This window comes from Homo sapiens, chromosome 6 (assembly GCF_000001405.40).
Source record: "Homo sapiens chromosome 6, GRCh38.p14 Primary Assembly".
In the NCBI taxonomy this organism is placed as follows: Eukaryota; Metazoa; Chordata; class Mammalia; order Primates; family Hominidae; genus Homo; species Homo sapiens.
Genome location: NC_000006.12, coordinates 120,544,791 through 120,568,135, shown reverse-complemented (window position 1 = coordinate 120,568,135; position 23,345 = coordinate 120,544,791). Strand labels below are relative to the sequence as shown.

Below are 23,345 nucleotides of genomic sequence, written 5' to 3'. Positions count from 1 at the left end.
TTATCAGAAGCAGAGAGGTGTCATTGTCCAGAGACAGATTCAGCATAAATAGGTCCCATTTCCCTCTAACCTCAAGATTCTAAAGGAAATATATACAACTTTGGGTGATATCGTTTACCCAATATAAGGTCTTATCAGAACTACAAAGTTCAATTGGTCTGTGACAGTATGAAGCTTATATCATTTAAATACTCTTTTAGTTCTTGAATTAAAAGTAAGTGCCAGCAAGGTCAAATCCATGTAATTTTCTCAGATTTATTGAATCAAATATCTGCCTCCATATTTCCTGCTTTGTGAAAATTACATTTTTCTGAAGTTCAATACATCGCGTCTTTTCCCAATACAGTTCTCTCACTTTCAAACAAAGAATAAAGAACATCAAAAACTTTTAACTCATCTGAATGGTATTGCATTACATTGTCCAAGGGTGTAAACAAAACTTCTGAGATGTTAAAAAAAAAAAAGAAAATAAAAAATGGAAGAAAAAAAGAAATAAAAGATCCAAAGCCAATATTTTAAAAGGGTAATCCAAAATGATTATATTTGCATAATCTCTGTAATCAAAGAACTCTCAACTGCTTACTTTGCCCGATTTCAAATAGAAGATAAATAATTTGTTTTTTTCTTCTGACATATCAAATTTATACCTTTAATTTATGCATTTATTCAGGTGTAGGAGAGGGACATTTTTATTAAACTTTGGCAATAGATTACTGGACACTGAAAAATTCTTATCCATCTTTTCCTTGGGAGAAAATCTGCTCACTATCCCTACTCAACGATTTGTGTGCTTAATTATTTATGCAGTTCATATATTTATTGGTTTTATATTAATCTAGTTGGAATATGTTGAGGATTCTACTATAAATAATGAACTTAACAACAATCATTAATTCACATTTTGTAAGTCTTGAATTTATTCATGACCCATATACTCTCTTCATTTGCTGTTAATTTCCCTTGAACATTGCTTTATTCTAGCAATAACTCATATTCATTTACAAGTACATGAATTAATTTTTAAAAGCCCCATCCATCTCATTAAGGAATATATTTCCAGTAAAATTTATTTTTCATGCTTTAATCAATTGGGTACTATTAATAATTGTATAGTAATTCAATATAAGGGAATTTTGTTAACATTGAGAGCTTTATAGGAATTGAAAGATCAATTCTGATTTATAAATATAATTTAGTTGAAAAGTATGTTACAGTGAGCCATAAAAATGTTCATGTATAAAAAAAAAAAGAACCACATGTTCAGTGAAAAGGTGAATTAGAACACAACCGTCACCAAAAAATAAAAAATAAAGATAATAAGGTAACTTGATCAACTTAGTTTTGTTGCTGGATACTCTCTCAGAATTCTTAGGCACAGGCTATACTTCATGTAGTTTTAAAATTGAAATCATGATCCCAATCTCATTCTTAAACCCTTCATGTAGAAGATATTAATAACCATGTTTCCAGGTTGACAGCATGCCAGACAACTAGCAGAAGCAAATTCCAACATTCTAGAGGAATATACCTTAAAATCAGTCTCAATTTTTTCCCCTTATCAATCTTCCAAGGAACATGGGCTTTTATTATGAGGAAGTATGATACCATGTTCAAGATTCAACAGAAACAACTCCAAATGAAGCAATTTTGTAAAATTGAAAACATTGGCACTACTAAAAAGCAAATATAAAATAAATGTTTAATATTATTTAAAAAACAAAGTAGAACATTGAAAATATAATACTGGAACAAGTGACTTTAAATGAATATTTGGAAATTAGCAAAATACCAGTACTATATTGGAGCAATGTATTTATTGGAATTTGAAACACAAAGGATGGGGGGGGAAAGCTCAAGAATATTCATAAAAATACACCAGCAAAAAATCAATTGATCTATCAATAAGCAACCAAAAATGAATGAAAAATAAGTACATGAATACATGCATACCATTGTCACTAGGGAAATAAAAATTAAAACTGTAAGTAGATACCAGTACACACACCAGAGTGGGTAAAATCCAAAACATTGGCCACATCAAATGCAGAAAAGGTTATGGAGTAACTAGAACCCTCATGCATTACTGGTGGGACTATGAAATACTATAACTATATGAGAAAAAGACTTGGAAATTATTTAAAATGTAAAACATATGTCATACAATCCAGCCATTCCTCTTTTAGAACTTATTGAAGGAAAATAAAAGTATGCTTCCTCCCAAAGACTTAAGCATGAATGTCCATTGCAGATTTATTTGTAATAGTAAAACCTGGAAACAACCCACATATTCATTAATCAGAGGATGGATTAAAAAAATGTTGTATATTCATTCAATGGAATACTATTCAATAGTATAAATGAATAAACTATGTCTTTATATATAAACAACATGGATAAATCCCAAAATAAGTGTATTGGGTAAATGAAGGAATATTAAAAAAAGAAAAGATATGCATAACTCAATCTAAATGCAATTCTAGAAAATGCATGTCAGTGTGGATAGGAGGTGAAGAAGCAAAAGATCAGTAAGGAGCCATTACAAAGTGGTAAGAGGAAAGTTTTAGAGGTACTGTGGTGGTGGTGGTGACTTCAGTGATGTATACCCATGTTAAATTTTATCAAAGTGTACAGTTTAGTGATATTGAGTTTACTGTCTATCAATTATAATAGAGCTAAAAATAAATCTGAAAAATCAAAGTAAGGAGAACAAGAAAGGAAGTTTAAAAAGCACTACAAAATCTAAATCATGCTACCTGATTATTACCTTCAATAATATTTGGTAATACTTCAGGCATCTCTTTTTTTTAATTCCAATTTTTATTTTAAGTTCAAGGGTACATGTCCAGGGTGTGGGTTTGTTACATAGGTAAATGTGTGCCATTGTGGTTTGCTGCACAGATCATCTCATCACCCAGGTATTAAGCCCAGCATCCACTAGTTATTCTTCCTGAACCTCTCCCTCCTCCCACCCACTCCTCCTCCAACAGGCCCCAGTGTGTGTTGTTCCCCCTGTGTGTCCATGTGTTCTCATCACTTAGCTCCCACTTATAAGTGAGAACATGCAGTATTTGTTTTTCTGTTCCTGTGTTACTTTGCTAAGTACAATGGTCTCTAGTTCCATCCATGTCCCTGAAAAGAACGTCATCTCGTTCCTTTTCATGGCTGCATAGTAGTCCATGGCATATATGAGCTACATTTTCTTTATCCAGTCTATCATTGATGAGCATTTAGGTGGATTCCATGTCTTTGCTTTTGTGAATAGTGCTGCCATGAATATATGCATGCATGTGTCTTTAGCCTAGAACAATTTATATTCCTTTGGGTTTATATTGAGTAATGGGATTCCTGGGCCGAATGGTATTTCTTCCTGTAGGGCTTTGAGGCATCACCACACTGACTTCCACAATGGTTTAACTAATTTACACTCCCACCAGTGGTGTATAAGCATTCTCTTTTCTCTGCAACCTTTCCAGCATCTGTTATTTTTTGACTTTTAAAAATAGACATTCTGACTGATGTAAGATGGTATCTCATTGTGGTTTTGATTTGCATTTTTCTATTGATCAGTAATGTTGAGATTTGTTTTTATGTTTGTTGGCTGCATGTATGTCTTTTTTTGATAAGTGTCTGTCCATGTCCTTTGCCCACTTTTTAATGAGGTTGTTTTTCTTTATTTGTAAATTTGTATAAGTTCCTTATAGATGCTGGATTTTAGACCTTTGTAAGTTAAATGCATAAGTTGCAAAAAATTTCTCCTATTCTGTATGCTGTCTGTTTTCTCTGTTGATAGTTTCCTTTACTGTACAGAGAGCTCTTTAGTTTCCATTTGTCAATTTTTCCCTTTATTGCAATTGCTTTTGCATCTTTGTCATGAAATATTGGCCAATGCCTATGTCCTGAATGGTATTGTCTAGGTTTTCTTCTAGGGTTTTTATAGTTTTTTATTTTACATTTAAGTGTTTAATCCATCTCGAGTTGATGTTTATATGTGGTGTAAGGAAAGGGTCCGGTTTTAGTTTTCTGCATGTGGCTAGCCAGTTCTCCCAGCACCATTTATTAAATAGGGAATCCTCTCCACATTGCTTGTTTTTTGTCAGGTTTGTCAAAGATCAGATGGTTGTAGGTGTGCAGATTTATTTCTGGGTTTTCTATTCTGTTCCATTGGTCTATGTGTCTGTTCTTGTACCAGTACCATGCTGTTTTGGTTACTGTACCCCCATAGCATAATATGAAGTCAGGTATCCTGATGTCTCCAGCTTTCTTCTTTTTGTCTAGGATTGCCTTTGCTATTTGGCTTCTTTTTTGATTTCATATGAATTTTAAAATAGTTTTTTTTTTTCTAATTCTGTGAATAATGTCAATGGTAGTTTAATGGAATAGCACGGAATCTACAAATTGCTTTGGGAAGTATCCCAGTTTTACAATATTGATTCTTCCCATCTATGAGCATGGAATGTTGTTCCATTTGTTTGTGTCATCTCTGCTGTTTTTGAGCAGGAGTTTGTAGTTCTCCTTGAAGAGGTCTTCACTTCCCTTGTTAGCTGTATTCCTAGGTATCCTTTTGCGGCAATTGTGAATGGGAGTTTATTCATGATTTGGCTCTCACAACTGCCTAACACACTAAGCTCCAAGGGTGGGGGAAGAATGGCACCCATTTCTATAGGTCCAGGCTGCACTTTTCCCCTGCTGGAGCCAGGAAGACTGGATGGCTTGGTCCCAAGATTTGTCCCCACAGCCCAACACACCGGCTGTGGCAGTCTGCAGCCAGAGTGCCTATTCAGGCCTAACCCTGACCTATCCTTTCTCAGTGGCCCCGGCTTCCCTGCAGGATCTCCAGATAATGCCAGCTAGAGGCTCAGAGACAGAATTCTGATCTCCCAAGGCCTGAGACCCTAGTAGGAGGGGTGGCCACAGTCTCTGTGGACCAGCAGACTTAGCCTCTCCTCCTGGTAGTTTTGAGAAATCCGGGCAGCCCAGAGGAGTGGGTTTTACCCAAGTGAATCATACCCTCTCCATCAAGGGACAAATGGATTCTGCTCCTCATGCCACCCAACTGGGTGAGACCCTCCAACAGGGGTTGTCAGATACCCTATACAGGAGCAATCCTACTGGCATCAGGTTGGTGCTCCTCAAGGTCAGAGGTCCCAGAAGAAGGAGCAGACACCCATCTTTGATGCTCTCTAGACTCCTTGAGTGACATTCTAGGCATGGGAGTGATTCAGATGAAAAGGGTCTGGAGTGAACCCCCAGAAAATAGAAAAAAAACTATTTTAAAATTCATATGAAATCAAAAAAGAAGCCAAATAGCAAAGGCAATCCTAGACAAAAAGAAGAAAGCTGGAGACATCAGGATACCTGACTTCATATTATGCTACGGGGGTACAGTAACCAAAACAGCATGGTACTGGTACAAGAACAGACACATAGACCAATGGAACAAAATAGAAAACCCAGAAATAAATCTGCACACCTACAGCCATCTGATCTTTGACAAACCTGACAAAAAACAAGCAATGGGGAGAGGATTCCCTATTTAGTAAATGGTGCTGGGAGAACTGGCTAGCCACATGCAGAAAACAGAAACCGGACCCTTTCCTTACACCATACATAAACATCAACTCAAGATGGATTAAACACTTAAATGTCAAATCAAAAACTATCCTACAGAATAGTGACCTGAGTATTGAAACAAAAAACAAGCAGAAAGTGACAACAGCATCAACAATAACAACAAAAAGGCCCCCACAAAACCCCATCCAAAGGTTAGCAGCCTGAAAGACCAAAACTAGATAAACTCCTGAAGATGAGAAAGAATCAGTGAAAAAAGTGCTGAAAACCCAAAAGGCCAGAGAGCCTCTTCTCCTGCAAATGATCACTATGTCTCTCCATCAAGGCCGCAGAACTGGACAGAGAATCAGATAGATGAATTGACAGAAGTAGGCTTCACAAGAAGGGTAATAAAAAACTACGATGAGCTAAAGGAGGATGTTCTAACCCAACGCAAAGAAGCTAAGAACCTTGATAAAAAGTTAGAGGAATTGCTAACTAGAATAACCAGTTTAGAGAGGAACTTAAAGGACCTGATGGAGTTGAAAAACACAACAAGAGAACTTCGTGAAGCATACACAAGTATTAACAGCCAAATCGACCACGCAGAAGAAAGGATATCAGTTTGAAGACCACCTTACTGAAATAAGACATACAGACAAGAATAGAGAAAAAAGAATAAAAAGGAATGAACAAAGCCTCCAGGAAATATGGGACTTCAAAAAAAGACTGAACCTATGATTGATTGGAGTACCAGAAGGAGACAGGGAGAATGGAAACAAGCTGGAAAACAGACTTCAGGATATTTTCCCGGAGAACTTCCCCAACCTAGCAAGACAGGCTATCATGCAAATTCAGGAAATACAGAAAACACCATTAAGATACTCCATGGGAAGATCAACTCCAAGACACATAATCTTTAGATTCCCCAAGGTCGAAATGAAGGAAAATCTCTTAAGGGCAGGCAGAGAGAAAGGCCAGGTAACCTACAAAGGGCAGCCCATCAGACTAACAGCAGACCTTTCAGCAGAAACTCTACAAGCCAGAAGAGATTGGGGGACAACATTCAACATTCTTAAAGAATATAATTTTCAACACTGATTTTGATATCCATCCAAACTAAGCTTCATAAGTGAAGGAGCAATAAAATCCTCTTCAGACAAGCAAATGCTGAGGGATTTCATTACCACCAGGCCTGCCCTGCAGAAGCTCCTGAAAGAAGCACTAAATATGGAAAGGAAAAACCAATACCAGCCAAAATAACAGAAACACACCAACACAAACAAAATAACAAAAACACACCAAAATAAAAGACCAATGACGTTACCAAAAACTGCAACTAGTGTGCAAAATAACCAAATAGCATCACGATGACAATCAAATTCACACATAAAAATACTAACCATACATGTAAATGGGCTAAATGCCCCAATTAAAAGACACAGACTGGCAAACTGGATGAGTCAGGACCCATGGGTGTGCTGTATTCAGGAGACTCATCTTACTTGCAAAGACACACACAGGCTCAAAATAAAGGGATGGAGGAAAATTTACCAAGCAAATGGATAGAAAAAAAAAAAGCAGGGGTTGCAATCCTAGTCTATAAAAAAACAGACTTTAAGCCAACAAAAATCTAAAAAGACAAAGAAGGGCATTACATATGGTAAAGGGAACAATTAAACAAGAATAGCTAACTATTCTAAATATATATGCACCCAATACAGCAGCACCCAAATTCGTAAAAGAAGTACTTAGAGACTGACAAAGAGACTTAGATTCTCATACAAGACTAGTGAGAGATTTTAACACTCTGCTTTCAGTATTACACAGATCAATGAGACAGAAAATTAACAAGGGTATTCAGAACTTGAATTCAGCTCTGGATGAAGTGGACCTAGTAGAGGTCTGCAAAACCCTCTACCTCAAATAAACAGAATATTCATTGTTCTCAGTGCTACATGGCACTTATTCTAAAATTGACCACATAATTGGAAGTAAAACACTCCTCAGCAAATGCAAAAGAACTCAAATCATAACAAACTGTCTCTCAGACCACAGTGCAATCAAATTAGAACTCAGGATTAAGAAACTCACTCAAAACCACACAATTTCATGGAAATTGAACAACCTGCCCCTAAATGACTCCTGGGGAAATAATGAAATTATGGCAGAAATCAAGAAGCTCTTTGAAACAAATGAGAACAAAGAGACAACACACCAGGATATCTGGGATACAGCTGAAAGAGTGTTAAGAGGGAAATTTATAGCATTAAATGCCCACATCAGAAAGCTAGAAAGATCTCAAATCGACATCCTCACATCACAATTAAAAGTGCTAGAGAAGCAAGTGCAAACTAATCCAAAAGCTAGCAGAGGACAAGAAATAACTAAGATCAGAGAACAATTTAAGGAGATAGGGACAAAAAAAAAAAAAAAAAAAAAAAAACCTTCAAAAAATCAGCGAATCCAGGAGCTGTTTTTTTTCTAAAAAATTAACAAAATAGATAGACAGCTAGCTAGACTAATAAAGTATAAGAGAGAGAAGAATCCAATAAACACAATAAAAAATGATAAAGGGGATATCACCACTGACCCCACAGAAATACAAACTACCATCAGAGAATACTATAAACACCTCTACACAAATCAACGAGAAAATCTAGAAGAAATGGATAAATTCCTGGACACATACACCCTACCAATACTAAACCAGGAAGTAGTTAAATCCCTGAACAGACCAATAACAAGCTCTGAAATTGAGGCAGTAATTAATAGCGTACCACCCCAAAAAAGGCCAGGACCAGACAGATTCACAGCTGAAATCTACCAGAAATACAAAGAAGAACTGGTACCATTCCTTCTGAAACTATTCCAAACAATTGAAAAAGAGGGACTCTTCCTTAGCTCATTTTATAAAGCCAGCATCATCCTGGTACAAAAACTGGGAAGAGCACAAGAAAAAAGAAAACTTCAGGCCAATATCCCTAATGAACATTAATGCGAAAAATCCTCAATAAAATACTGGTAAACAGAATCCAGCATTAGATCAAAAAACCTATCCACTATGATCAAGTCAGCTTCATCCCTGGGATGCAAGGCGTATACTTTCAATATACACAAATGAATAAACATAATCCATCAAATAAACAGAATCAAAGACAAAAACTACATGATTATCTCAATAGATGCAGAAAATGCCTTTGTTAAAATTCAACATTCCTTCATGTTAAAAACTCTCAACAAACTAGGTACTGATAGAACATACCTCAAAATAATAGCTATCTATGACAAACCCACAGCAAATATCATATTGAATGGGCTAAAGCTGAAAGCATTCCCTTTGAAAACCGGTACAAGACAAGGATGCCCTCTCTCACCAATCCTATTCAACATTGTATTGGAAGTTCTGGCCAGGGCAATCAGGCAAGAGAAGGAAATAAAGGATATTCAAATAGAAAGAGAGAAAGTCAAGTTGTCTCTGTTTGCAGATGACATGATTTTATATTTAGAAAAACCCCATCATCTCAGCCCCAAAATTCCTTAAACTGATAAGAAACTTCAGTAAAGTCTCAGGATACAAAATCAATGTGCAAAAATCACAAGCATTCCTCTTTTTAAAGTGGTAGCTAACAACAGAAAGCATGGCATATGTCAGTGAGTCAATAATAACCATTAAGCTTTGGAAAGATAGAACAATATGAAACACAAAACTATTATAAATAATATGTAAAATATTGAGTGATTTGGAATTCAATCAAATAACATTTATTAAGATAGATGTGAAGTATTTGAATAACTAGAATTAGGTGGATGTTAAGGCAACCTCACAGAATAAGTATGTGCCTTTTAAGCATCTTCTCAAGGTAATTTATTTTTTGAGAAAGTTTTGCATTGTGGAAGTATAAAAATATCTATAATCTTTCAAATCAGGAACTACTCACTTATTGAAAGCAAATCAACCTCAATTATTTTTCCTCTGTCTTTAATTACTTTGGGGATGGCTGAAGGTCATTAAAACACTCACATTTAAATCCCTAGTAAGCTTCCTAATTACCTCTGCTTTCTCAATTGTTGCAGTTTTAAAACATATTGTAGACACTTCAGTTTTACAATGCTGTCATAAAACAATGCGTCCACATCGAAAATGAAATAATGAGAGGGTAGATTTATTATGTTTCAGTTAAGCTAGGGATTTTTTTTTTAAGTTTCTTGAACCTATCACATAATTTCTAAATTGCTTTATACATAATTCCAGCCAATATGCCAGGGGACTATCTTGTATTTTAAGTTAAAATAATGCAAATGACAAGTTGAATGTTAAATGAGAGACTTCCAGTGGCCATAAGCATTTTGGACTTCCACTATAATTTATTCATACAATTGAGCAGCTGGAATCAGATATTTGAATTAATGCAAAGGCTATCATATTATGTGGTTCCAAATAGTATGACAGGCTATGATTTGTCTCAATAAATTGTTGGCAATTATGACTGACAAGCAGATTAGAATAAAGCCAGAAACAGAAATATCTAATAAACAAGAACTATTGCTAATGAATATGATTGTGTAGTTTTCAGGGCACCAGTGACCCAAGGACTAGAAGAAACAGACGGAGGAGCTTGGTGAGTATCAAGTTTATCATAAAAGCTGTCATTTTGTTATTGCAACCGGAGGCAGAAGCCAATTTTTTCAATGACAATATCTCTATGTAATATGAAATGTTGTATAATAAAAATAATAAATTGCTCTGTTGCCTTTGTATCACCAAGTCACTTAGCAAGAAATAAAACCAGAGAAGCCTAAGTAAAGAATAGAAGCCATATTGTTCCAAAGGTCAGCGCAGTCTCCTTCATTCTCTTTTAAAATTGCTCATATAAAAATAAATTTGATTTGTATTATAGTCATAAACTTTCTTTAAAGAAGAGATTAAAGCTATGCAGAAGCTGCTTGTTTGAGCGTATTCAATGCCTTTTAAAATATACAGATATTTTATTTCTTGATTAAATTCACATTTTCCATCAATATCTATGGTATTTTCTGCTTCTGGAGATGACTTTGAAAAGACCATTAAACTAAAAAAAAATCATTGCAGCACTTTTATTGCTACTTCTTTAATAACATTCTTTAGTACTATTAACCATTTACAGAAATAATTTTGAAACCTAAATATCATGCACTTCAATTTTCATAATAGAATATATTAAATTATATGAATACATGTCACATACACATCATATATTTGGCTTAGAAAAGATTAAAAATTCATTTCATTTGATTATTGGTAATACAAATGAGTATAAATAAATGATAAATATAATATCCTTGTGGCACTTATGATAGTTCCAAAATATTTTATGTTATTTAATGTCTACCTTCATTAGATTGTCAGTTGACAAGGGCAAAGCAGTGTGCCTTTGTTCACAATATATGCATCACATGACATTGTATATCAACCTGTTGTTAATATACCCTCAATTAAATTAAATTACTGAATTAAAAAGTAATTTATATTTGTTGACGCCTCATTATAAGTAAACAGACGACTGAGTTCTACCTCTTGGTTTTCAGACCATGAATTTCATTATGTGGACACAGCATTATAATATGGTTGTTAACTTGGAATGAGCAGAAATTATACAGGGTTGAATAATTGCTGAGAATCCACAAAGTATCCTCATACAGGCTTTAGTATCGGAAAAGGAAATGACACAGCATGAAAAAGAAAATACAGGGAAACATAGAAAGGTCAAAAAACTTCCAGACACAGCAACCTGGGTTTTTTGCAAAGAATGTACTTCACCTTCAGATTATGAACCAAGCAGTTATATTACTCTCAGGTAAGCTAAGGTATAAGTTTACTGAGGGTTTTTATACTCTTTGTTCTATGTAACATGTTTAAACAGGTGCAAACCACCATTCAGTACATTTTCAATAAACAATGCAAACAAGTTAGTACAGGGTGATGTAGTAGTCAGTTCTTATGCTACTAATAAAGACATACCTAAGACTGGGTAATTTATTAGAAAGTGAGGTTGAATGGACTCACAGTTCCACATGGCTGGGGAGGCCTCACAATCATGGTGGAAGACGAAGAGCAAAGGGATGTCCTACATGGCAGCAGGTAAGAGAGCTTTTGCAGGGGAACTCCCCTTTATAAAACCATCAGATCACTTGAGACTTATTTACTACTAGGAGAACACTATGGGAGAAACTGCCCCCATGATTCGATTATCTCCACCTGGCCGCACCCCATGTGTAATAATCCCACATGGAGATTATTACAGTTCAAGATGAGATTTGGGTGGGGTCACAGCCAAATCCTATCAGGTGACTTCAGGGGACTTTCAGATTTAAAACAGATCATTATAAATCACCAGTGGTTACATTTTATTCTTTTGGGGGCCAAGTATCAGTCCTATGGCTCTTGAAAGCCCTGGAAATAAGCATATTATCTACCACAGACCAGCTTTCTTATGCCAGGTGCATACTGCATCTGAAGAATAGCATCCCATGCTGCATGGTGTCATCTCCAAGTTCACACTTCACAAGACCCTTCCAAAGTCTGTTCCATTGCACTAATTGGCAGCTTCTGGGTGGTGTGCTATTTAATAGGATCATTTGGTTCCCTGGTCACAGGCACGTGTTGCACTTCATTTGTTATAAAATGAATGTTCACACCCTTGGCCCGAGATGATTTTATGTTGTACTCTAGTTCAATTAATCAAATACTCTGTAAATTCTCAAATAGTGCATCTACTTAACATCCTTGAAATTATTCTCAGATAAATTTGACTTCAGGTTTTGTTTCTTTTCAAAATCTATAGTCACATAGTTAGATAATCTTTTAATTTGCCCTACTGGTCATTAATCTTATTCATAATATATAGATCTTATTATTTAACACCTAGAGAAAAACTTTAGTTCCCTTATTTGTAAGGTTTATAAGATCTGAATACAATGTTCCTTAATGAGAGATGTTTTTTAGATTCATTTAGCAAGAAAAGATTCATGTGCCAATGTATTATCTACCTTTTGCAACATAAATCATTTAAATATATTTGTTGATTTCTTGAGCATTGAGAAGTAAGATATTGTAAGTTTTCATTTAATTCCTTTGACATTAAACATGGTCTGTGCCTGGACTATCTTTTTAAACTCTATCATATATCTCTCCACCTCACTTCTGAAGCTCTAGTCACACTGGAACCATCAAACTTGTAATATTCTATGGTCTTTGCACTTGCTGTTGTCTCTAGCTGGAACATTCTTCCTCCATGTATTGCCTAACTTGATGGGTCATTTAATCAGGTCTCTACTGGCATTATTAGAGCAAGCCTTCCTAAAAACCCTGTCTAAAATAATAGCATATTGCTGTCATTCCTCTCCCCTTTACTCTGCTTATCTTTTTTATTTACTTTTATGTTCAGGGAGGGTTCCATGACCAACTATTCATTCAGTGATTTGCTAAAAGGGTTCAGATTAGATGTATTTATTCACAGGATTATACTTATTACATTAAAAAAGAGATTACAGAGAAGGATCAACAATGGAAAATGAATCAGTTGGAGTCAGATTAGATGCAGGGTTCCAAAGTACTTTCCCATCAGGGGCTGCAAAAGACATGATAATTCTTCCAGCAGCAAACTGTAAGAACACATATAAAGTGCTTCTGCCCAGGGAACCCAGCTTTAGTGCAGAGTTCGTATTTTATACAGAAGGTTGCTCTCATAGCAGTTGGGATCATAATTTCTTTCTTTTTTTTTTTTTTTTTTTTTTTTTTTCTGAGACAGAGTCTTGCTCTGTCGCCCAGGCTGGAGTGCAATGACGTGATCTCAGCTCACTGCAACCTCCGCCTCCTGGGTTCAAGCAATTCACCTGCCTCATCCTCCAGGATAGCTGGGATTACAGGCTTGCACCACCACACCAAGCTAATTTTTTTATTTTTTATTTATTTATTTATTTTTAGTAGAGACGGGGTTTCACAATGTTGGCCAGGCTGGTCTTGAACTCCTGACCTTGTGATCTGCCCACCTCGGGCTCCCAAAGTGCTGGGATTATAGGCATTAGCCACCACGCCCAGACAGGATCATGATTTCAAAAGACAAAATCCTGAACATTGTAATCCCAAATGCTGAAATCCTGAGAGATTAAAATCCTCCTTTCCTAATGTCGAAAATTCTGAAAATCACAATTTTGAAATATTAAAATCTTGAATATTAAAATCCCGGAAGCCAAATTCTCGAGAAGGAACTAGTACACTTTTTGTCATATGCAGGATACATGCATCATTTTAGTTGCATCATGCTAGGTGGAAATATTATTTTATTATTATCTATATTTGCATTGGGCAGAAAATTCAGATGAGTGGGTTGGCACTCAGTACAGCAAGAATGAGAACTTCAGTTTAAAAATGCCTCATTTGTCTGCATTGACATTTCTTACAGTTGATGATATTCTAAAAGCTTTTAATGAAATAAAGCCACATTTGCCTGAAAGAAATGTGAATGAAATGTGAATGAAAGAAGTCAGGGAAGTTATTGACTGATTTGAAAATAATTATGCACATGGTTAAGTTAAGAAGATACTTACACAATGTTATTGCTATTCAATCACCAGTATTTTTTCTGCCAGATTTGTGTCTGTATATGAGTGCATGTGGAAGGGGTTTCTGCATATCCAAAACAACATAGAAGCATGGCACAGAAGATGAGAAAATTTAATAGGGAATGTTCATGTCAGTGTATACTGAATCATAGAAGAATTTCATAAAGAGTCGAACCATGTAGAAAATAAATGTGAATGTATTTTTCCTAGGAAAGCCAGCCTCGTGGTCCCTCTAAAACAAAGCACTTATTCATTGCAATGCAAGACTTCAAAATATAGTTATTAATCATGCAAAGTTGGCGAGTTCTTATGGAGTACCTCCATGCAATTGCCCATAAACTATTTCTGTAATATACTTTTACATGTCAAATTTACTTTTTAGATTTTTTTTGGTTGTGTGCTTTTTTGTTTGTTTGTTTGTTTCACTATTTAAAGTGTCAGCATTATTTTTTACAATTTGCTATGCTATGAATTTCCTCTTCATATCATTTCCAACACTGGAGGTATAAATTATATAAAGACTTTTACAGAATTCTAATTCAGTTTATGCATATTCTTGTACATTTGATTCCACCAAATGTATTATCACAACATTAACTTCGCGTATAGGCATTGTGCATGTATACGTTCAAACTTCTTCAGTAAATGATGTTCTTTTTGGGCATTGGCACTTGTGGAAGATAAAATTTTTTGAGCTCTCAGCTCTTTGAGCAACTGCAGTAGTGATCCATTATGTGTTTTGATCCATCCTGTCAAAGACTTAGATTGTTCCACATATTTCAGATGACCACACCTACAAAGCTATGTGCACACAATTACCAACCACAGTGATAAGCATTTACACATTTTACTTTTTGATTTCTTTCTTTATGACTACATGACTGCTATACCCATGCAACTATTGTTAGTATACCTAGTGTTTATGCTTGCAAAAATATGTATGTTATTATTGCCTATTTTATGGTATAAAGTAACAAAGTGTTCTGTAGTATTTCTATGTATTTCTCAAATACTGTTTTAAAAGGCAAATAAATGCCTTTAAATTTTCAAAATAATTTTCCAGGTTTATATCTTTGAGATTTTAAACTAGGAATTTTGATCTTTTGGGATTTCAACATTTGGGATTATGGCATTGAGGACTGTGTCTTTAAGGATTACGGCCCAAATCCCTCACACAGGAACATACTGTCTGTGTGAAAGCCATCATTACTGAAACTCCAGACCTAGAAGGAAAGCAGGTGTCCACAATATACCATATTTCCACAAATTAGCTAGACAAGTTGGTACAGTATGCTTAAGTGCCACAAACATAAAATAACCTTAACAATTAGTAACACAGGGGAGTTTTCAGAGGAGAAATTTTCAGGGCCAGCTATACAAGCAAGCCCTTCCAAAGATAGAAAAGAGATGAGCTGCATCAGGTAAGCTAAATTGTTTCCTGCACACTTTATCATCATTTGACCTATTGCATCTGTATTAGTTTTATTCTACCTTTCCCACTAGACTGTGGGACTGAGCATATCTCTTATGATTAGTTTAGTGACTGGTATAGAGTAGTCATTTCTCAACATTTGTTAAATGCAAAAACAAATGACCACTTATTGACCTATGCCTGGTAGGGCTAGAATATGTAACAGTGAAAGACAGAAAAAGGAAAAAGGGCTGCAAAAGAAGAGTGTGCTGGTACTAATGTTTTATAGGTATTAAGAATAAGGTATGAATAGTTGTTCCTCATTCTGTTCCTTATTCTGTTCCAAAAAATAGAATAAAAATATAATGCCAGAAAGTAACTTTAAAAGGGTGGATAACGATAGTGAAATACTAGAATATTTAAGGTGATTATAAGAAAAAAGGGAACAGCTGTTCAGTATCGTGTTTCTTTTGTTGTTGTTTTGTTTTTTACAGAGTCTCACTCTGTCCCCCGGGCTGGAGTGCAATGGTGCGATCTCTGCTCACCGCAACCTCTGCCTCCCGGGTTCAAGCGATTCTCCTGCCTCAGCCTCCTGACTAGCTGGGATTACAAGCGTGCACCACCACGCCCGGCTGATTTTTTGTGCTTTTAGTAGAGACGGGGGGTTTTGCCACCTTGCCCAGACTGGTGTCGAACTCCTGAGCTCACCTCGGCCTCCCAAAGTGCTAGGATTACAGGCGTGAGCCACTGCGCCAGGCCTCACCATAGTTTTTGAAAAAGAAAAATAGGCTTTAATCGTGAGCTAAATTCATATATGAGGTAAGAAAGACAGACATGTCAGGCAGGTAAAGTACTGTGAAAGGTTTTGAAATCTTCACAGAAACTATCACAAAAAGAAAATATCACTCTTTATCCTGAGTTATTTAGCTCTGATTTTACAATTTGATGAAGCGGACTAACACAGACTTTTTGTTTTTTTTTTTTTTTTTTTTTTTGAGACGTAGTCTCGCTCTGTCGCCCAGGCTGGAGTGCAGTGGCGCGATCTCGGCTCACTGCAACCTCCGCCTCCCGGGTTCAAGCGATTCCCCGGCCTGAGCCCCCCGAGTAGCTGCAACTACTAGTAGCTGGAACTACTAGAGGCGTGTGGCACCACGCCCGGTTAATTTTTGTGTTTTTAGTAGAGACGGGTTTTCACCATGTTAGTCAGGCTACTCTCAAACTCCTGACCTAGTGATCCGTTCGCCTCTGCCTCCCAAAGTGCTGGGATTACAGGCATAAGTTACCGCGCCCGGCCAGAGACTTTCCAAGGCCGCTTTGGAACATAGGACTTTCACTAAAACATTTTCATCCTATCTTCCAATAGTAGCTGCACATTTGATAACTTATTATTTAAAGATGTATGAGGCATTACAAAGCATAAAATGCTTATTTTCTCATAATTTGAAATAATAAACGATTACATTTTTTCCATAAATATTTATTTGCTGTTCCAAACTCCAATGCTAATTTTACTTTTCTGAAATGAAATTATGATGTCTTTGCTGATCTTGAGTTTAAGGATGTGATCAATAGTGAAGGGAAAAAAAACCCAATGATGTAAAATAAAGATGGAATAAATAAGGACTACATGTATATCCAGAAAATTAACATGATTTAAAAAACGCTAAATTCCCAGTGATCGAAGATAATAAATAGTTTTTATATTTATTATAGTTGAAAAATATGATACACAATATCATATGAACAATTTGCATGGGCTCAATGAGCATTTATTGATATTACTTATCTATATTTAATCTACAGAAATTATTTCAATGAAAGTTTACCAAGAGCTATTTGAAATAACCCATGCTTAAGTAAAATAACAAAAAAGCAGCAGCTTTTAAAACACCTTCAGAGTATAGAGATTTTGTTATCCACCTGTATAAATTCTTCCAAAAGTTATTAAAAACAAAACAAAAACTCCATAAACCTTTGACAATAGCATGCATTAGAGATGATGAAAAGGAAAATCCTTGAGCTGTTTTGAAGACATCTCTAACCTCTAAACACAATGAAGCAGAAAAATGAACTTTCAGCCGTTCCTTGGATAAAATAAATGATCAATGGTAAGCAATAATTCAAATAAAATACCTTAGTAAGAAAGTAAAGAATGCAAGTCTCTTGTAGCCCTCAAACATTTACTCCTCTCTACTCTTTATTCATAATACCTCCTGTTTTACTCTCTTTGGTCACAGACACAATTTAAACTATTTTCCTTCAAAAGCAGTTCAGAGTCTAGGAAGATACAAATAATAAATACAGATTCATTAAATTAACAAAATGAAAGCTTCTCTTTATCCTGTCCAGAGTTTTATACTTTAGAAGACAGTGGGGATTAGAGTCAGTGGTGTGTATTTTATTGGTTCAGGCTGTCTCTTAAGTATTAGTCTGATTGAAAGTGTTGATTTGAAAACACACAGGAAAGTTTAATACATGTTTTATCGTGCCCTGATCATGAACCCTTGTGTGACAGGAGGACCAGGCCTGGTCAGTTTGGGGATAAAATATGGACAAGAAAAATAATTAGACTTATTAAACAAAACCATTATATGTTAGCACATGCTTCTGGACAGAGGTCATTGTTCTAGGAAAGAAGCTGTTTTAACAGATGACATGGAATAGCCAAATATGCTCGTGATCATTGAAAGCATTATCAGGCTTCTCATTAGAATAAAGCTTTGCCTCCTGGCCTAATACTAATGAGCGTAATTAAATTCTGCATACCTAAAATCCCTCTCTGATTCAGCTTGGGGAAGTTATTTTCTTTTTGTATTGCTGTTCTAGGCTCTGAAACTCTGTCATTCAACCTAGAGATAATTGCGTTTCATTGGTGAGCAAAGTATTATTCTTCATGTATTACCTAGTAAAATATTTTCATATGATAATTTTATCATAAATTTGCATCGTTAATATGGATATTTGATTCTATTTCCTGGAATAATCTAATTGAAAACATTACATATTTACTGCATGTTGAGGAAGCAAAAATCAATTGAAGTAGCAAAAATGGTAAATATTTTATAACTGTCATATATATTTGATATAACTAAAAAATTTATATGAAGAACCATATAAATTATTTTGTGGTAAATAAATCATTTCCCTAAGATTTTAATATATTAATCCATTTTATGACATTTTTTTTTCTGTAGGACCGTTAATCAGATTCTCATCTGTCAAATATCACTGGTGTAGCATCCAGTTGTCAACAGTCTGTATCCATGTTTTCTTCCTTTATTCAAATCAAGATTGATTTTAAAAGAGAAACAAGTTTCTTCTTCCAGCAGTCCTCCATCTCATTTCTATTTAAACCGGCAACTATCATTCTCAGCAAAGTTAAGGCAAATGAGCAGGGAGAATGGTCTGGAAAGGTGGTTTCTTTGTAGCTGCATAAAGAAGTTCCTATTATTTTAGTTACTTGTCTGCCATTCAGCCTCATATTACCATATACCAATATGTAGTTATGATGCTTTCCTGCCTAAAATCCTTGGTCTTATTGGGAATGGAGCTTATGTCTGTAAACATTCTAGAGTTGCTCAATTAAATGACCAGATGTTTCTCATTAGGATGATTGGCAGGTGCATGCTGAAGCTTTGGTGGGAATAGTTGTGACTGGAAAGGCCAGCTACCCAAACAACAGTGCAAGTTCTCCTGTATTCCCCACTGTTACTTAACAAACCCAAGAGGTGCAATGGATGGGGCTACTGATATACCAGCCTCCTGCTGGAAAAAAATACTGAGTATCCAGGTATAAACTATCAAAAATGACATAAAGTTTTGGTTACTTATATAAACATAATTAAATGGAAGCTTTGTGATTACACTTGCTCTTCTTCCTGAGAGTATTACCCCCGTGCTATGGCGAGTGTGATAAAGTCACCATGGCATGAAATTGCACTACGTTCTTAATTCCACCAATGTATGTGTTGTCTAGTTTCAATTCCATTTTGCTTTGAATTTCAGTTCCATCTAAATCATAGGTTAAAGGGAACATTCAAAGCAGTTTTATTATATTCCTAAGTTTCCAACAAGGTTAATGAAGTCCAACACTTCAGTTGAATCTAAAAATGAAGGAAAAAGGGATGATTATTGTAGCTTCATTTTCAAATTGCTACATAGAGCCAGACAAAATCATTATAATATTGATGTCCTATGAATACACACATTATAATTATGTGAAATTCTTTCTTTTTTAGAAAATCATTGTATTTTTTATTTAATGGTGGCTTTCAGGGGCAAAGCAGTCCAAAATGTAAAATGTCTTACAGAATAAGATACATGTTCTTAAAAAAATTATTCAGAATAGCAAATAATTGTCCTCTGCTACTTTTATTCAAATGAAATATATAATGGAGTCTCTGAGGATATCTACTTTTTCTACATATTAGGTAAAAATAAATTTGTACTTAATGTAACTGATTTTTTAAAGAAAGAAAGTTTATGTACAAAGAGCTAGTATTTTACCATATGAGTTGGAAATAAGTGAGTGGCTTATACTCAAGCTTCACTAACTCTTTATGGACAACTTTATAAACAATAGGATTTAGAAGGGTATTCATTAAAACTATTGACCACATTCAAAACCCTTATGTTGGATTTATGCAGTGTAAATGAGGAGCAAATGGGATAAACCCTTTCACGTGCACTAGCTATCAGCTGAGTGAGGATTCTTAATATTATTTCATCAGCAAGATACGAACGGATGCTTTCTTTCAATCATCAGTTCTGTTCTTGCTCAACTAGAGATTCATAGGACACTAGAACTTACATTATAATTCTCTGACAACTGTTACAAATGAGCTAGAATTTGAAACCACAATGATAAAGTTTTTAAAAGTTCTAACCAAGATGATGCCCAAATGAGCAAATACCCCATTTCATTCTCACTGGTAGGAAGTAGTAGAATGAGACAGGAATCCAAAAGGCCAACCATATCATTGCTGTCTGCTTTTTGAAAACTATACTTAGTTTTTGAGTAGTTTTCAATGCTCTCTAAGTTTTTAACTTTGGTGATTTATCAGATAAAACATTGGTGGACCAGTTTTGTGCATGTACCTTGGTAGATAGATTCTTCTTTTGGCTAAAATGTATTACCATGTTATTTTTCTAAAAGTGAGTTTAATATGTTTGAAAATATTTATAAATGATACAATATAATGTTTGCAATTAGCTTCTAAATACTACAGGATAGGAGGAGTGAATGGTGTGTGGATAGGTCACAGCTAACCATAGCTGTCCATAGGGCACAAGGAAGCTCCTCACACTATTCTGTTCACTTTTATATGTGTTCGAAATTCTCCATAATAAACATTTTTTAAAAAACAATCTTCCTTAGTGGTCGCAAACGTGGTCTTCATACTAGATCCAATCAACCAACATGTGATCCAAACAACACTTGGAAACTGGGAGAGTTAAGATAATAATCTGAGCGTCTAGATTTTCTTGGAAAATAGGAAGATGTGGCACTATTGAGACAGCATTCCTTTGTAGTAAACACTTGGTTAGTGCAGAGTAGCAGGTGCTTCCTGTAAGACACAACGTGAATTTGTTGCAGCCTGTCAGCACCCTAATGTGTTATGTCTTGCTGACTTCATTTATTTTCTTTACCATCCTGGCTTTTGTGGCCATTGGAAATGCTTAAGTTAGGGAAAGGTATTCCCCTTTTTATTGAAAAATTCTGCTACTAAGAACCATCTAGTTATTTACTATAAAGAACATGGGTTCGATGTTGCCATCTTCTGATTTTTTAAGAAAATCTGGAAATTCAGATTATATGAAATTTCCCAGTTTACAAATACTGTCTGGGTCAAATATTCATCACAAAATAGACCAATAAATCAGAATGTTTTCTAACATTCCTATAGGTGCTTCTAAACCAATTTGATTGTCCCATCTCTCACAAAAGGGTTGAAAGATAAATACACTAGAGAATATCAAAAAGATATTTTTAGTTCTGAAATACTATAGAGAACCACCTTCCTCCTTACCATTTAAGATTTATACTTATGTCATGTGAGCTTTTATATCAGTTATTTACTCATTCAGGATTTGTGATAATTGAAGTGTTTTATTCCTAAGAGAAAATGTTAAATTTGCTATGCTCCAGTCAAAATCGAATCAGCTACTCTGATTACAGTGATATAATCACATACATATACATGTAATGTGCACACACCTTATTGCATATTAAAGTATATCTTCCATTTTAAGAAATTGTAAGTCAAGCATATAAAAGTGAAAGGAGAAGAAATAAATACATCAGTGTTGTAGTGAACAGAAGTAAAGGAAGAAAAATGAATTATGATGTTATTGTATATCATTCATGTTTAAGAGAACTTTTTGTAACATGAATATTCAATTTACAAAGCCTTGTTATAAATCCGCCATCATCAGTGAGAGATTTATCTTGGTTGCCTGTATACTATCATAACTCCTTTCTTTATGGGTAGAAAACCATAGAGTAAATTGCTAAACTCACCAGAAATCTGTATTTTACCTTCCAAGAAAAGACCAATTGATTGAAAACTAATAAACTTTCTAATATTCAATTATTCCACATAGAAAAACTTTAATAAGCCTTTATTAAGATAGATATTTAGATGCAGTTATAGGAGATAAAATGATGTTATGTCAGGTTAACAATTCGTTATAGTTCAGAGCAAAATATATTTTTGGAGGGGCCAAGATAAACATAATGTTTTCTAAAATTTGGTGGTGAAGGTTTTCAACCTATCCTATATGAGGACCTTTTACCACTGAGAAGGTCTATACCATACCGGGAATTTTAATGCAAACACTGATCTTCAATGCATGTAAATCGCATTTGGATTGGGTGTAATAACAGTGTATTTTAAGTATTTCCTTCTGGCCTTTAGGGTTCAGGGAAACCCATTAGTAATATCTTGATTAAGAGGAAAGTGAAAGAGCTAAAGGTCAGGTTTCTTTGTATTCATTCAGAGAAACGAATAAAATGCCAACCATGAAAACACCCACTCCCAGTCTACATAGTACAAATGGCATTTATAGAGAGATATGTAACCCTTCATGAATGATATCTGTATCCCTGAACAGATTATTTAAAAAATACCATTCATTTCATATTAGCTAGTCTTCTTTTCTAGACCACTAAGGAAAATATTAAAAATGGACTGAGACTGAAATGTAAGTGATGGTCTTATTGTCTTGGAATTAGGTTACTTATGTATGTGTGCTAAGAATACCTTTGCCTCTGCTGAAATACAGGGATTGGAAAGAGACAAATGGAAATGTACCTTCCATGGTTTAATTAGTAAAATATGAATTATGGCATTGTAATATAGCCAAGATTATGGTCACTTGCTCTTTTGGGTAGTAAGTTCACCATTTCCTTAGCAAGAGGTATACAGATCTGTTAAGTGTATTTCGTAAGAGCACCTGGAAAGCAATTAACCATTCAGTATGATGTAGTTTTGTCTTATTTATTTATTTTTTCTTCTTTGGAAAAACTACAACAACAACAAATAAAATAAATGGTAATTAGGTTTTCTTTCCCCTAATTTCAGGACTCAAATTTTCCTTTCTCCTCTACGCAGTAGTAAAAACAGGCAGAAAAGGGGGCCAAAGAAACTTCCAATATGTAAAAAGAATTTTGGCACTTTTTAATGGCTGGGAGATGTGGACAGTTATGAAGAACCAAAGGAGAAAAGAAAGGATAGCCAGAGGAATAGAGAGCAGGAGAGCAGGAGAGCATGAGACAGATTCT

At 35.0% G+C, this 23,345-nt stretch overlaps 1 annotated feature.

The window, feature by feature from the left end:
- Positions 22,639-22,808: an enhancer, noted in NCBI's record as "experimental_88541 CRE fragment used in MPRA reporter constructs". NCBI's record gives its function as "activates a minimal promoter by MPRAs in K562 erythroleukemia cells, with activity observed for both the introgressed and non-introgressed 6:120866559 variant alleles {active_cell/tissue: K562}" and the evidence as "EXISTENCE:reporter gene assay evidence [ECO:0000049][PMID:34662402]".